At 36.4% G+C, this 15,361-nt stretch overlaps 1 annotated feature.

Moving 5' to 3' along the window:
• Nucleotides 1,887-2,702: an enhancer, noted in NCBI's record as "NANOG-H3K27ac-H3K4me1 hESC enhancer chr4:78904281-78905096 (GRCh37/hg19 assembly coordinates)". NCBI's record gives its function as "activates a minimal SCP1, AML or CMV promoter by ChIP-STARR-seq in naive H9 embryonic stem cells {active_cell/tissue: H9 hESC(naive)}" and the evidence as "EXISTENCE:reporter gene assay evidence [ECO:0000049][PMID:30033119]".

Genomic DNA, 15,361 nt, shown 5'->3' with positions numbered 1-15,361 from the left:
TCACTAGCTGATTGATCTTTACTAGATACTTAATTTCACATAGCCTCTACTTCCACATTAGTAAATCAATAGAATTAGCAGCTCTACCCACTTCACAGGGTTGTTGTCAAGACCAAAAGCAAACAACAGATTTTACTAGAATGTAAGCTCCATGAAGGCAGATATTTTTGTCTTTTTTGGTTCACTGCTGTGCCCCTAAAACCTAGAAAAGTACCTGGCACATAATAATCACTCAGTGGATGCTATAAAAATGAATATTATAAATATGTAACATATTGTATGTGAGGTATTATTATTATTCGCTAAACCAAGGAAGACAAACAAAGTAGAGAGTGACTCGCTCAAGTTATTTACTAAATCAGAAAGAATTTAAGACTGGATTTCAGAGCAGATCTCTTGACATTTTATCAATTTGGTCATTCAACAAAATTTTGACAGCATGTGCCATAGAGCATACTATATGCCAGGCATGGTACAGATGCTGGATATACAGTGGTAAAATACATATACATAAGAGTCAAACATGGGATATAGACATTAAACAAATAAACATGAAAATGAATGCACACAAATAAATTGTAATAAGAAAGGAAGGAAGAAAGAAGAAAGGAAGAAGAACCTCTGAGGCAAAAACAACAGGATAAAGTTTCCTTAACTTACATCTAGACTAAATCTTTAAGCTAAAATTTACCCAAAAAAACTGTTCACTCTTTTGATAAGACGTGTATTTTTAGAGAGTGTTCATTTGTTTTTATACATATCAGTATTTCCAGCTATTTCATGTCAGTATTTCCACCAAATTATGAGAAACTTAACATTATCATCTAGAATTAACCATCCAAGACAGATCTATTAAAATAAAAATTAGAAAAACAATGACAGCATTAATCACTCACCCTTGTTATTTTAGTTCTTACAGCTAGACGCTTAATGGTGTTTGCTGACCTTAATATTAAAATTGGCCTCTGCCTCTGCCTCTGCCTCTGCCTCTGCCCCTCTGCCCCTCTGCCCCTCTGCCCCTCTGCCTCTGCCTCTGCCTCTCCCCCTCCCCACGGTCTCCCTCTCCCTCTCTTTCCACGGTCTCCCTCTGATGCCGAGCCGAAGCTGGACTGTACTGCTGCCATCTCGGCTCACTGCAACCTCCCTGCCTGATTCTCCTGCCTCAGCCTGCCAAGTGCCTGCGATTGCAGGCGCGCGCCGCCACACCTGACTGGTTTTCATATTTTTTTGGTGGAGACGGGGTTTCGCTGTGTTGGCTGGGCTGGTCTCCAGCTCCTAACCGCGTGTGATCTGCCAGCCTCGGCCTCCCGAGGTGCCAGGATTGCAGACGGAGTCTCGTTCACTCAGTGCTCAATGGTGCCCAGGCTGGAGTGGAGTGGCGTGATCTCGGCTCGCTACAACCTCCACCTCCCAGCCGCCTGCTTTGGCCTCCCAAAGTGCTGAGATTGCAGCCTCTGCCCGGCCACCACCCCGTCTGGGAAGTGAGGAGCGTCTCTGCCTGGCCGCCCATCGTCTGGGATGTGAGGATCCCCTCTGCCTGGCTGTCCAGTCTGGAAAGTGAGGAGCGTCTCTGCCCGGCCGCCATCCCATCTAGGAAGTGAGGAGCGCCTCTTCCGGGCCGCCATCCCATCTAGGAAGTGAGGAGCGTCTCTGCCCGGCGGCCCATCGTCTGAGATGTGGGGAGTGCCTCTGCCCGGCCGCCCCGTCTGAGTAGTGAGGAGACCCTCTGCCTGGCAACCACCCCGTCTAAGAAGTGAGGAGCCCCTCCGCCCGGCAGCCACCCCGTCTGAGAAGTGAGGAGCCCCTCCACCCGGCAGCCACCCCGTCTGGGAAGTGAGGAGCGTCTCCGCCCGGCAGCCACCCCGTCCGGGAGGGAGGTGGGGGTCAGCCCCCGCCAGGCCAGCCGCCCCGTCCAGGAGGGAGGTGAGGGGGTCAGCCCCCCGCCCGGCCAGCCAACCCGTCCGGGAGGGAGGTGGGGGGATCAGCCCCCTGCCTGGCCAGCTGCCCCGTCCGGGAGGGAGGTGGAGGGTCAGCCCCCTGCCCGGCCAGCCGCCCCGTCCGGGAGGAGAGGGGCGCCTCTGCCCGGCCGCCCCTACTGGGAAGTGAGGAGCCCCTCTGCCCGGCCACCACCCCGTCCGGTAGTTGTACCCAACAGCTCATTGAGAACGGGCCATGATGACAAGGGCAGTTTTGTGGAATAGAAAGGGGGGAAAGGTGGGGAAAAGATTGAGAAATCGGATGATTGCCGTGTCTGTGTAGAAAGAAGTAGACATGGGAGACTTTTCATTTTGTTCTGTAATAAGAAAAATTCTTCTGCCTTGGGATCCTGTTGATCTGTGACCTTACCCCCAACCCTGTGCTCTCTGAAACATGTGCTGTGTCAACTCAGGGTTAAATGGATTAAGGGCGGTGCAAGATGTGCTTTGTTAAACAGATGCTTGAAGGCAGCATTCTCGTTAAGAGTCATCACCACTCCCTAATCTCAAGTACCCAGGGACACAAACACTGCGGAAGGCCGCCGCAGGGTCCTCTGCCTAGGAAAACCAGAGACCTTTGTTCACTTGTTTATCTGCTGACCTTCCCTCCACTATTGTCCTATGACCCTGCCAAATCCCCCTCTGCGAGAAACACCCAAGAATGATCAATTAAAAAAAATATATATATAGTTTTATTTAAAAAAAATAATAATAATAAAATGCTTTTATTTTCCTCCTTTATCTTTTAAATATAAATATAAATTTAATAAATTAAAATATTTACTATTTTAAAAAAATAATAAAAAAAATAAAATAAAATTGGGCCATCAATTTCAAAACATACCTTCAAAATTATCTACTGTAGTTAAGTCAGGTTTACACTGTGCTTTACTTTTAGTAGGCAGTGAAAGGGTTTTGTTGTGCTAAATTTTCTTCTTTAGGATGTTGAGGGTTAAAACTATGGTATACCTAAACATTATCTTCCCATGGTAACACGTATTTGTTAATGATTAGCTTTCTCATTGAAAAAAGATTTCTTGCCAGCTAAAGACACATAATGAAGGCTATGATTTATTATTTTTTTGAATTCTCAATGAATCCATTAAGATGACTTGACAAGTCTACCTGCTTTTAATGGTTAATTTAGGCTTTTAATCTATCCAAAATTGCTTTTTACCTTGAAAGGCAATATCAGGAGAAGAGCAAGAGTTGAAATCAACCCTTTCTTTTTAAATTAACACAAAGAGTGAGAACACTGTATTTTAAATTAAGGAACAACCTTTGGTAAATATGCTTTTCTAGCCTGAGATGACTGACAGCTAGAATTTTAAGGTCAGGTATTGCCAATTGATAACTTTTTTAAACTTTAACAAATAATAATAAAGTCAGATGCATTTTGCTCAAGAATTTAAAAAGAAAAGATAAATTTATATAACAAGACTACTGGAGATAAAAAAATGAATTTAAATACTATTTAGAAAAAAGTGTGATGGATTTTCTTTTAATCTCTTTTAAAGTGGTAAGCCTTCAAAAGCTTTCTGTTTATAAATTAATTTGTTATCCTAAGGAAGGGTAGCTTATCGACTTAACTTTTCCCTAGAATTATGAATTTATTTTTAAATCAACTTTACTGAGGTATAGTTTACCTAAAATAAAATGTATTCACTTCATACATACAGCCAGCTCTTCTATAACTTAGCTAGTATTTCTAGAACTTACAGTGCTATTCAAATCCCCACAATTAAAAAAAAATGGACCTGGGAGAAAATGGGTTTAGAAAAACAATAGTCAGATACTATGCCATTCACACACACACACACACACACACACACACACACACACACACAAAGATATTGCCTAATATTATCTAATAAAATGGTAGCATACTTGAACAACCTTAAACCAACTCTAACAAACCTCTGTAGAACACTCTACTCAACAACAGCAGAATATCTATTCTTCTCAAGTGCATAGAGAACATTCTTTTGGATGGACCATATGCTAGACTATAGCACAAGCCTCAATCAATTCAAAAGGATTAAAATTATACAAAGTATGTTCTCCACCTACCACAATTGAATGAAATTATAAATCAATAACAAGTAAATTTAGGAAGTTAACAAATATGCAGAAACTAAATAGCACACTAATATTAATAAATAATGTGTCAAATAAGAAATTACAAGGAAAATTGGAAAATACTTTGAGATGAGTGGAAATGAATATACAACCTACCAAACCTTATGGGATGCAGATAAAGCAGTGCTTGAAGAAAAACTTACAGTTTTAAATGCCTACATTAAAAAAGAAAACATATATCAAATCAGTAAACTAACCTCCCACCTTAAGACACTAGAAAAAGCAAAGTTTTTTTTACCACTTCCTGGTAAAAAACACTTAACAAACTAAGAATACAAGGACAGTTCCTCAACACTTTTATAAAAGGTGTCTACAAAAACACCCAGCTAACATCATACTTAATGGTAAAAAATGTGAATGCTTTACTTATAAGACCAGAAACAAAATGAGAATGTTAACACTTGGTACTTCTATTCAATATTGTTCTGGATGTTCTGGCCAGGGTAATTAAGAAAGAAAATGAAATAAAAAGCATCCAGTTTGCAAAGGAAGATGTAAAACTATGTCTAATCACATGATCTTGCATACAGAAAATCTTATGATATCTACACACAAAAAAAACTATTTAAAATAATAATCAAGTTCAACAAGGTGCTGGATATAAGCTCAATAAACAAAATCAACTCTAGTCCTATACGCTACCAATGAACAACCCAAAAATGAAATTGAGGCAACAATTTTATTTACAATATCATCAAAAAGAAGAAACTATGAATAAACTTAACAAAAGTACAAGACTTATATACTGAAAACTATTACACATCATTGAAGAAAGTAAAGAAGGCCTAAGTCAATGGAAAGCTATCCATGCTCATGAATAGAAAGATTTAATATTGCTAAGATGGCAATACTCCACAAATTGACCTAAAAATCCAATTCAACTCTTATTAAAACCCCAGCTGGCTCTTTGCAGATGTTGATAAACTAATTCTACAATTCCTATGGAAATGTAAAAGATACAAAATAGCCAAAACAATCTTAAGATGAACAAAGAGGAATCACACTTTCTGATTTCAAAACTTACTATAAAGCTACAGTAATCAGGACAGTTTGGTAAAAACCCTCACATTTACAGTCACTTGATTTTCAACAAAGTTGCTAAGTCTGCTACAGATAGGAGTTCAAAAACAAACAAAAACAAAATTGCTAAGACAATTCAGTGGAGCTTTCCACCATTATCTGTTTTTTTCAACAAATAGTGCAAGGACAACTGGATATCCACACACAAAAGAATGAAGTTGGACCCCACATCATATAAATAATTAACTAAAATTAGATCAAATATCTAAATGTAAGAGCCAAAGCTATAACACACTTAGAAGAAAACATAGCCTTTAATTTTCATGACTTTGGAGTAAGCAAGAGTTTCTTAGATAAGACACTGAAAACACAGGCAACAGAAGAAAAAAACAGATAAAACAGACATCACCTAAAGTACAAAATTTTGTGTTTCAAAGACACCATCAAGAAAGTGAAAAGCCATATTAACTCTTCTAATCCATGAACAGGGGATATTTTTCCATTTATTTGTATCTTCAGTTTCTTTCATGAATGTTTCATAGTTTTCAGTATACAGATCTTTTGCCTCCTCAGTTAAATTTCTTCCTTTTTTAATATTTTGCAATATTTGCTTTATATGAACTATTTCAAAGAAATTTATAGACATGACAATACTTAACCATGCATCTCCTAAGAATGTGATTCTATATAACCTTAATACCATTGTCCCACTTAAAATACTTCCCTAATTTAACATGAAGTCCTTATTTCAGATTTTTCCACTTGTCTCTTTTTTTAAATAGCTACTGTGTCATCCCCCAAGCAGGATTCAATCAAGATTCTCACTTTCTGGAAATACTAGTCCTGTTGTCTCATTGAGTTTTTCTTTGCAGTGTCATTAATTTAACCTCTTTTTTATGTGTATCATTGGTGGCTTTATTTATTTATTTCCATAGGTTTTTGGGGAACAGGTGATATTTGGTTACTCAGTTAAATTTATCTCTAAGTAATATTTTTATGCTATTGTGAATGAGAATGTTTTCTTGATTTTTTTCACATAGTTGTGAGTATACAAAAATGCTACTAATTTTTTAATGTTGATTTTGTATCTGCAACTTTACTGAATTTATTTCTTACTTCTAACAGTTTTTTGGTGGTGTCTTTAGGGCTTTCTATATTTAAGATCATGTCATCTGCAAACAGAGACAATTTTACTTCCTTTATGATTTAGATGTCTTTTATTTCTTTTTCTTATTTATTTGCCCTGGCTAGGACTTCCACTACTATGTTCAATAGAGGTGGCAAGAATTGGCACCTTGTTTTGTTCCTGATTTTAAAGAAAAAGCATCTAATTTTCATTATCGAGTAAGATGCTTGTTATAGATTGACATATATGGTTTCTATTATGTTGAGAAACATTCTTTCTATACCTAATTTGTTGAGAGTTTTTATCATGAAAGGATGTTTTATTTTGTCAGATTCTTTTTCTGCACGTATTGAGAAGATCATATTATTTTTATCCTTCATTCTATTAATGTGTTGTACAACATTTGTTAATTTGCATATGTTGAACCTTCCTTGCATCCCCAAAGTAAATCCCACTTGGTCATTAAAGTAAGGTGTAGGCTCCTTTTAAATGTGTATTATTAGTATTTTGATGAGGTATATGATTTTTTAATATGCTGTTCAATTCAGGTTGCTAGTATTTTGTTGAGGACTTTTTTTATGTTGACCTAAAATTTATTTATTCAAAAAAACAGTCATTTCTAAATGAAAGGTATTATGCTAGGTTTCATGAAGACTATAGACATGGCAATGAATTGATTTATATAACGCACTTATATTAGGTGCCTTAGTAACTACAGAAATTAATACACAGTCTTTGCCTGACAGGAACTGAGAGTCCAAATTGATATAAGGAAACCATATTGTTTTTATTCTTGCTTAAATATAAACCTTCTATGCCTGTCATTTCTCTAAACTTCCCTTAGTTGCAGGAACACTCCTATTTTTTAGTACTTCCAATCAGCCAGTCAGTCTGGTAAACAAACCTTTGTGTGCCAGGCTGTAAAAAATATAAAGTTGAGTAAAAAGTGGAAGTGGTGGCTGCTTCTGGGGATCTTGCGTTCTTTAGAGAGTAACAGATTAATGTAAAAAGAAAGAGAAAGATACACACAGTTGCACACAAAGCTGAGGATTTTTGTATCCACATTAATTGGATACAAAATTAATTGGATTAATTGTCCTATAATTTTCTTGTAGTGTTCTTGTTTGACATTGATATCAGAATAATGCTGATCTCATAAGAATGCATTTGGAATTGCTCCTTCCTCTTCAATTTTTTTAAGAGTTTGAGAAGGATTGGCATTAATTGCCCTTTAAATGTTTGGTAGAATTCAGCAGTTAAATCTGTCAGGTCCTGGGTTTATCTTTGATGAGAGACTTTTTATTACTGTTTCAATCTCCTTACTCTTTATTGGTTTGTCCAGATTTTCTATTTCTTCATGATTCAGTGGTGGTAGGTTATATGTTTCTAGGATCTTATCAACCTGTTTCTTCTAGGTATTCAATTTGTTGGCATATAATTGCTCATAGTAGTCTCTTATTGTACTTCTGTAGTAACAGTTGTATTGTTTCTTCTTTCATTTATAATTTTATTTATTTGAGTCTTCTCTCTTTTATTTTTTACTTAGGCTTCTTAACAGTTTGTCAATTTAGTTTCTCCAAAAACCAAGTCTTAGCTTCATTGATCTTTTCTATTATTTTTCTCATCTCTATTTCATTTATCTCTGCTCTGATCTTCAATATTTCCTTCTTCTGCCAAATTTGGGCTGAGTTTATTCTCTTTTTTTTCTAGTTTCTTGAGATGTAAAGTTACGATGTTTATTTAAGATCCTTTTTTTAAATGGAGATGTTTAGCACTATAAAATTCTTTGTTAGAAATTTCAAAACCCAAAGTAGCCTAGACAAATTCAGTGCAATCCCTATCAAGGTCCCAGTGGCATTTTTCACAGAAATAGAAAAATAAAATCTAAAATTCCCATGGAAGCACAAAACACCCCCAAATAGCTGCACAAAAAGAACAAAGCTGGAGGTATAGCAATACCTGATTTATTTTAAAAAATTACAAGCTACAGTCTTCAAAACAGTATGGTGGTGGCATAAACACGGACACATAGACCAATAGAACAGAATAGAGAGCCCAGAAATAAGCCCATGCATTTATGGTCAATTGTCCTTTGACAAAGGTGCCAAGAGCATCCAATGGGGAAAGGACAGTTTCTTCAATAAAGGTATTGGAAAAAGTGGATATCCACATGCAAAAGAATAAATGGACCCTCATCTCACACCATATACAAAAATCAACTCAAAACACATAAATGTAAGACCTGAAACTGTAAAACCACTAGAAGATAATATGGGAGAAAGCTTGATGTTAATCTGGACAATGGTTTTTCAGATATGACCCCAAATGCATAGACGGCAAAAGCAAAAATTTTAAAAATGGAATCATTTCAAATTTAGAAACTGAAGCAAAGGAAACAATCAACATTATAGCAGCATTTTCATAACAGCCAAACAATGGAAACAACCCAAATGTCCATCAGCTGAAGAATGGATACATGAGGCCGGGCTCGGTGGCTCACGCCTGTAATCCCAGCACTTTGGAAGGCCAAGGCGGGCGGATCTTGAGGTCAGGAGATAGAGACCATCCTGGCTAACACGGTGAAACCCCGTCTCTACTAAAAATACAAAAAATTAGCCGGGCGTAGTGGCGGGCGCCTGTAGTCCCAGCTACACGGGAGGCTGAGGCAGGAGAATGGCGTGAACCCGGGAGGCGGAGCTTGCAGTGAACAAAGATGCCCAGCCTGGGCGACAAAGCGAGACTCCGTCTCAAAAAAAAAAAAAAAAAAAAAAAAGAATGGATAAATGAAATGTGATGTATCTACACAATGGAATATCATTCAACAATAAAAATAAATTAATGGCTAAAAAAATTTGAGTTAAAAAAATAAATAGATGAAGTGCTGATACATCCTGCAATATGGATGAACCTTTAAGAGCGTTATACTAAGTGAAAGAAGCCAGAAACAAAAGGTTACATATTATTTTATTCCATTTATATGAAACATCCAGAAAAAGGATATTTATAGAGTTAGAAAGTAGTTTGGTGGTTGCCTACAGCTGGGGATGCTTGTGCTAAAAAAAAAAAAAGACTGACTAGATAAAAGATTTTTTTGGGGGGGAGTTATGAAATTATTCTCAAGTTGATTATGGTGGTGGTTGCACAATTTTGAATATACTAAAAAACAGAGTGTACACTTTAAATGACCACATTGTATGATATGTGAATTACATCTTAATAAGGCTCCTATAAAATTTGCAATTAAATAGAAAATATACAAAGAATAAAGAAAAGTCAAAAAATCTAAGCTGCTTTTAACAAATGATTGATAAAATAATAAACTGCCAGCTTAAACCAATGAAAAAAGAGAGAAGACAGATTTCAGGTATAGAAAAGGAAGAGAAGCATCACCGTAAATATTACAGATATTAAAAGTATAGGTATAATAAAGGAATATTTTAAACATTTATTCCAATAATTTTGACAACTTAGATGAAATAGATCAATCCCTTGACAGTCAAAAATTACACAACCAAACCGGTAAAAGAAGAAATATTTTTGTAAAAATCTAAATAGCTCTGTATTAATTACATAAATTTAAACGGTAAAATAAAATCTTCCCACAAAAAGCACTCTAGCTCCAGATGGATTTACTGTTGAATTTTAGCCAAATTTGAGGAAAACATAATAGTTCCCTTACCAGAAAGTTTCAGAAAATAGAACCAGTACTTCCCAGCTCATTTTATAAGTCCAGCACTACCTTGATGCTGAGAGTCAAACTATTATAAGAAAAGAGAATTGAAGATCAGTATCTCTTCTGAACCTAGATGAAAAAGTTTCTAATAAAATTATCAAATTTGAATTAGAACCATATAAAAAGGATAATGCATTATGACCAAGCGGAATTCATCCCAGAAACAAAAGGTTGGTTTAAACTTTGAAAACCAATCAATGTAATTCACCATGTTAACAAACTAAAAAAAAAAAAAAGACAAAACTCCATATGTTCCTATAAATAGATTTAGAAAAATCATTTGATAAAATTTTAACACCTATTCATGAAAAAAAAAACTCTCAGCAAATTAGGATAGAAACAAACTTCCTCAAAATTTTTCTCTCTGAAAACCATCCAAGAAGATGCAAATAAATTGAGAAATACACCATTTCATGGATTAGAAAAATCAATATTGTTAAGGTGTCAGTTGGATATAAATCTAATCTCCAGCAATATTTTTTGTAGAAATTCACAAGCTGATTCTACAACTTATATAGAAATACATGTTAGGTGACCTAACATAACTGGAATAAAGTTTTAAAAGGAGAACAAAGTTGGAGTGCTTATATTATGTGATTTTAAGACTTACCATAAGTCACAATAATCAGATCAGTGGAACAAAGTAGAGAGTTAAAAAATAGAACAATACATTTACATTTAATTTATTTTAATCAAGGTTCCAAAGATAGAGAAATAGTCTTCTCAACAAATGATGCTGGGACAATTGAATATTTGTTCAATAAATAGAAAAACTATACTTTGATCATTACACCATGCTAAAATTTTACTTGAAATGTATCTTATACCTAAAAGTAAATATTACAACTTATATACCTTTTAGAAGAAATATAATAGAGGAAAACACAGAAGAAAATTTTTGTAACTATGGGGAAGGAAAAGATACCTTAGAACACAGAAAACACTAATTGTGCATGAAATTTTTTAATGGACTTTATGAAAATTACAAAATTCTGCTCATTGAAAGATACAGCTAAGAAAGTGAAAAGTGGCCCAGGCTCGGTGGCTCATGCCTGTAATCCCAGCACTTTGGGAGGCTGAGGTGGGCAGATAATCTGAGGCCAGGAGTTTAAGACCAGCCTGGTCCAACATGGTGAAACCCTGTCTCTACTAAAAATACAAAAATGAGCCGGGCATGGTGGCGGGTGCCTGTAATCCCAGCTACTCAGGAGACTGAGGCAGGAGAATCTCTTGAACCTGGGAGTGGGAGGTTGCAGTGAGATGGGATTGCGCCACTGCACTCCAGAGCCAGACTCCATCTCAAAAAGAAAGAAAGAAAGAAAGAAAGTGAAAAGTAAATCCACAAATGGAAGAAAATGTTTGTAACATGTATATATTGACAAAGGACTTGAAACGAGATTACAGAAAGTATTCTTACAACTCAATAAGAAGAAAACCTAATTTTTTATTTTATTTTTTGTGCTGAATGTGTTGAATTTTATTTTGAAAAATTTGAAATCTTATTCAAAATTTGAAAAATTTTGAAAAAGAATAGTACAGTGAACATCCGAAAACCCTTTACCTTCATGGACCAGTTTTTTACGTTTTGTTAAATTTGCTTTTGTCTTTGCTACAGTAAAGGCTGTTAATGTTTTGGGTTTTTTATTTTTTCACACAATTTTTTTTTATTATACTTTAAGTTCTGGGATACATGTGCGGGATGTGCAGGTTTGTTACATAGGTATACATGTGCCATGATGGTTTGCTGCACCCATCAACCCGTCAGCTACATTAGGTATTTCTCCTAATGCTATCCCTCCCCCAGCCCCCTACCCACCCCCAAGAGGCTCTGGTGTATGATGTTTCCCTCCCTGCGTCCATGTGCTCTCATTGTTCAACTCCCACTTATGAGTCAGAACATGCAGTGTTTGGTTTTCTGTTCCTGTGTTAGTTTGCTAAGAATGATGGTTTCCAGCTTTATCCATGTGGCTGCAAAGGACATTAACTCATCCTTTTTTATGGCTGCATAGTATTCCATGGTGTGTATGTGCCAAATTTTCTTTATCCAGTCTATATGATGGGCATTTGGGTTGGTTCCAAGTCTTTGCTATTGTGAACAGTGCTGCAATAAACATATGTGTGCATGTGTCTTTATAGTAGAATGATTTATAATCCTCTGAGTATATATCCAGTAATGGGATTGCTGGGTCAAATGGTATTTCTGGTTCTAGATCCTTGAGGAATTGACACACTGTCTTTCACAATGGTTGAACCAATTTACACTCCCACCAACAGTGTAAAAGTGTTCCTATTTCTCCACTTCCTCTTCAGCATCTGTTGTTTCCCCACTTTTTAATGATCACCAGTCTAACTGGCATGAGATGATATCTCATTGTGGTTTTGATTTGCATTTCTCTAATGACCAGTAATGATGAGCATTTTTTCATCTCTTTGTTGGCCACATAAATGTCTTGTCTGGGGAAGTGTCTGTTCATATCCTTCACCCACTTTTTGATGGGATTGTTTTTTTCTTGTAAATTTGTTTAGGTTTCTTGTAGATTCTGGATATTAGTCCTTTATCAGATGGATAGATTGCAAAAATGTTCTCCCATTCTGTAGGTTGCCTGTTCACTCTGATGATAGTTTCTTTTCCTGTGCAGAAGCCCTTTAGTTTGATTACATCTCATTTGTCAATTTTGGCTTTTGTTGCCATTGCTTTTGACGTTTTAGTCATGAAGTGTTTGCCCACGCCTATGTCCTGAATGGTATTGCCTAGGTTTTCTTCTCAGGCTTTTATAATTTTAGGTCTTACATTTAAGCCTTTAATCCATCTTGAGTTAATTTTTGTATAAGGTGTAAGGAAGGGATCCAGTTTCAGTTTTCTGCATATGGCTAGCTAGTTTTCCCAACACCATTTATTAAATAGGGAATCCTTTCCATTGCTTGTGTGTGTCAGGTTTGTCAAAGATCATATGGTTGCAGATGTGTGGCATTATATCTGAGGCCTCTGTTCTGTTCCACTGGTCTATACAACTGTCTGGGTACCAGTACCATGCTGTTTTGGATACTGTAGCCTTGTAGTACAGTTTGGAGTCAGGTAGCATGATGTCTCCAGCTTTGTTCTTTTTGCTTAAGATTATCTTGACTATGCGGGCTCTTTTTTGGTGCCATATGAAATTTAAAGTAGTTTTTTCTAATCCAGTGAAGAAAGTCAGTGGTAGCTTGATGGGGATAGCATTGAATCTATGAATTACTTTGGGCAGTATGGCCATTTTTACGATATTGATTCTTCTTATCCATGAGCATGGAATTTTTTCCATTTGTTTGTATCCTCTCTTATATCCTTGAGCAGTGGTTTGTAGTTCTCCTTGAAGAGGTCCTTCACATCCCTTGTAAGTTGGATTCCTAGGTATTTTATTCTCTTTGTAGCAATTGTGAAGGGGAGTTCACTCATGATTTGGCTCTCTGTTTGCCTATTATTGGTGTATAGGAATGCTTGTGATTTTTGCACATTGATTTTGTATCCTGAGACTTTGCTGAAGTTGCTTATCAGCTTAAGGAGATTTTGGGCTGAGACGATGGGGTTTTCTAAATATACAATCATGTCATCTGCAAACAGAGACAATTTGACTTCCTCTCTTTCTATTTAAATACCCTTTATTTCTTTCTCTTGTCTGATTGACCTCGCCAGAACTTACAATATTATATTGAATAGGAATGGTGAGAGGGGGCATCCTTGTCTTGTGCTGGTTTTCAAAGGGAATGCTTCCAGCTTTTTCCCATTCAGTATGATATTGGCTGTGGGTTTGTCATAAACAGCTCTTATTATTTTAAGATACATTCCATCAATTCCTAGTTTATTGAGAGTTTTTAGCATGAAGGGGTGTTGAATGTTATCAAAGGCCTTTTCTTCATGTATTGAGATAATCATGTAGTTTTTGTCATTGGTTCTGTTTATTTGATGGATTATGTTTATTGATTTGTGTACGTTGAACCAGCCTTGCATCCCAGGGACGAAGCCGACTTGATTTTGGTGTATAAGCTTTTTGATGTGCTGCTGGATTTGGTTTGCCGGTATTTTATTGAGGATTTTCACATCAATGTTCATCGGGGATATTGGACTGCAATTTTCTTTTTTTGTTGTGTCTCTGCCAGGTTTTGGTATCAGGATGATGCTGCCCTCATCAAATAAGTTAGGGAGGAGTCCCTCTTTTTCTATTCTTTGGAATAGTTTCAGAAGGAATGGTACCAGCTCCTCTTTGTACCTCTGGTAGAATTTGGCTGTGAATCTGTCTGGTCCTGGGCTTTTTTTTGGTTGGTAGGCTATTAATTACTGCCTCAATTTCAGAACTTGTTATTGATCTATTTAGGGATTCAACTTCTTCCTGGTTTAGTCTTGGGAGGGTGTATGTTTCCAGGAATTTATCCATTTCTTCTAGATTTTCTAGTTTATTTTCATAGAGGTGTTTATAGTATTCTCTGAATGGTTTTTTATTTTTTCAGTCATTCTTTCTTTTTTTAATTTTATTTTTAAGTTCCGGGGTACATGCGCAGGATGAGCAGGTTTGTGTGTCATGGTGGTTTGCTGCACCTATCAACCCATCACCTAAGTATTAAACCCAGCATGTATTAACTATTTTTCCTGATGCTGTCCCTCCCCCTTTCCCCCCACCCCCAGACAGGCCCCAGTTGTGTGTTGTTTCCCTCTCTGTGTCCACATGTTCTCATTGTTCAGCTCCCACTATGAGTGAGAACATGTGGTATTTGGCCATCTGTTCTTGCGTTAGGAAAACCCAGTTTTTAATAAGGGAGAAGGATTTGAATAGACACTTTACAAAAGGAGATAAAAGAATAGCTAGTTATGCCTGAAAAAATGTTCAACATCATTAGTCATCAGGAAAATGCAAATTAAAACCATAATGATATACCACTATATACCCACCAGAATAGCTAAAATAAAAAAGATGAAAAATTCCAGCTATTCCTGAACATCTGGAGCAATTTCAACGTTTATATATTGTTGGTAGGAGTATAAAACGGTATGGCCACTTTTGAAACCTATTTGGTTGTTTCTTACGAAATTGAACATATACCTACCATATGACCCAGTAGTTCCACTCATATTTAAGAAAAATGAAAGCAAATGTCCACAAAAAGGTTAGTACATGTTCACAGAAGTTTTATTTATAATAGCTGAAAGCTGGAAATAACACAAATGTCTGTCAACAGGTGAATGGATAAATATGTTTGGTATATACATACAATGAAATATTTCTCAGCAATAAAGAACAAATGACTGATTGAAACATACAACAACATAGATGAATTTCAAAAACATTACTCTAAACAAAAGAAGCCAGACATAAAATATATGCATTACACTATATA

Source organism: Homo sapiens, chromosome 4 (assembly GCF_000001405.40).
Source record: "Homo sapiens chromosome 4, GRCh38.p14 Primary Assembly".
Classification (NCBI taxonomy): Eukaryota; Metazoa; Chordata; class Mammalia; order Primates; family Hominidae; genus Homo; species Homo sapiens.
This window is presented reverse-complemented; position numbering and strand designations above follow the sequence as displayed.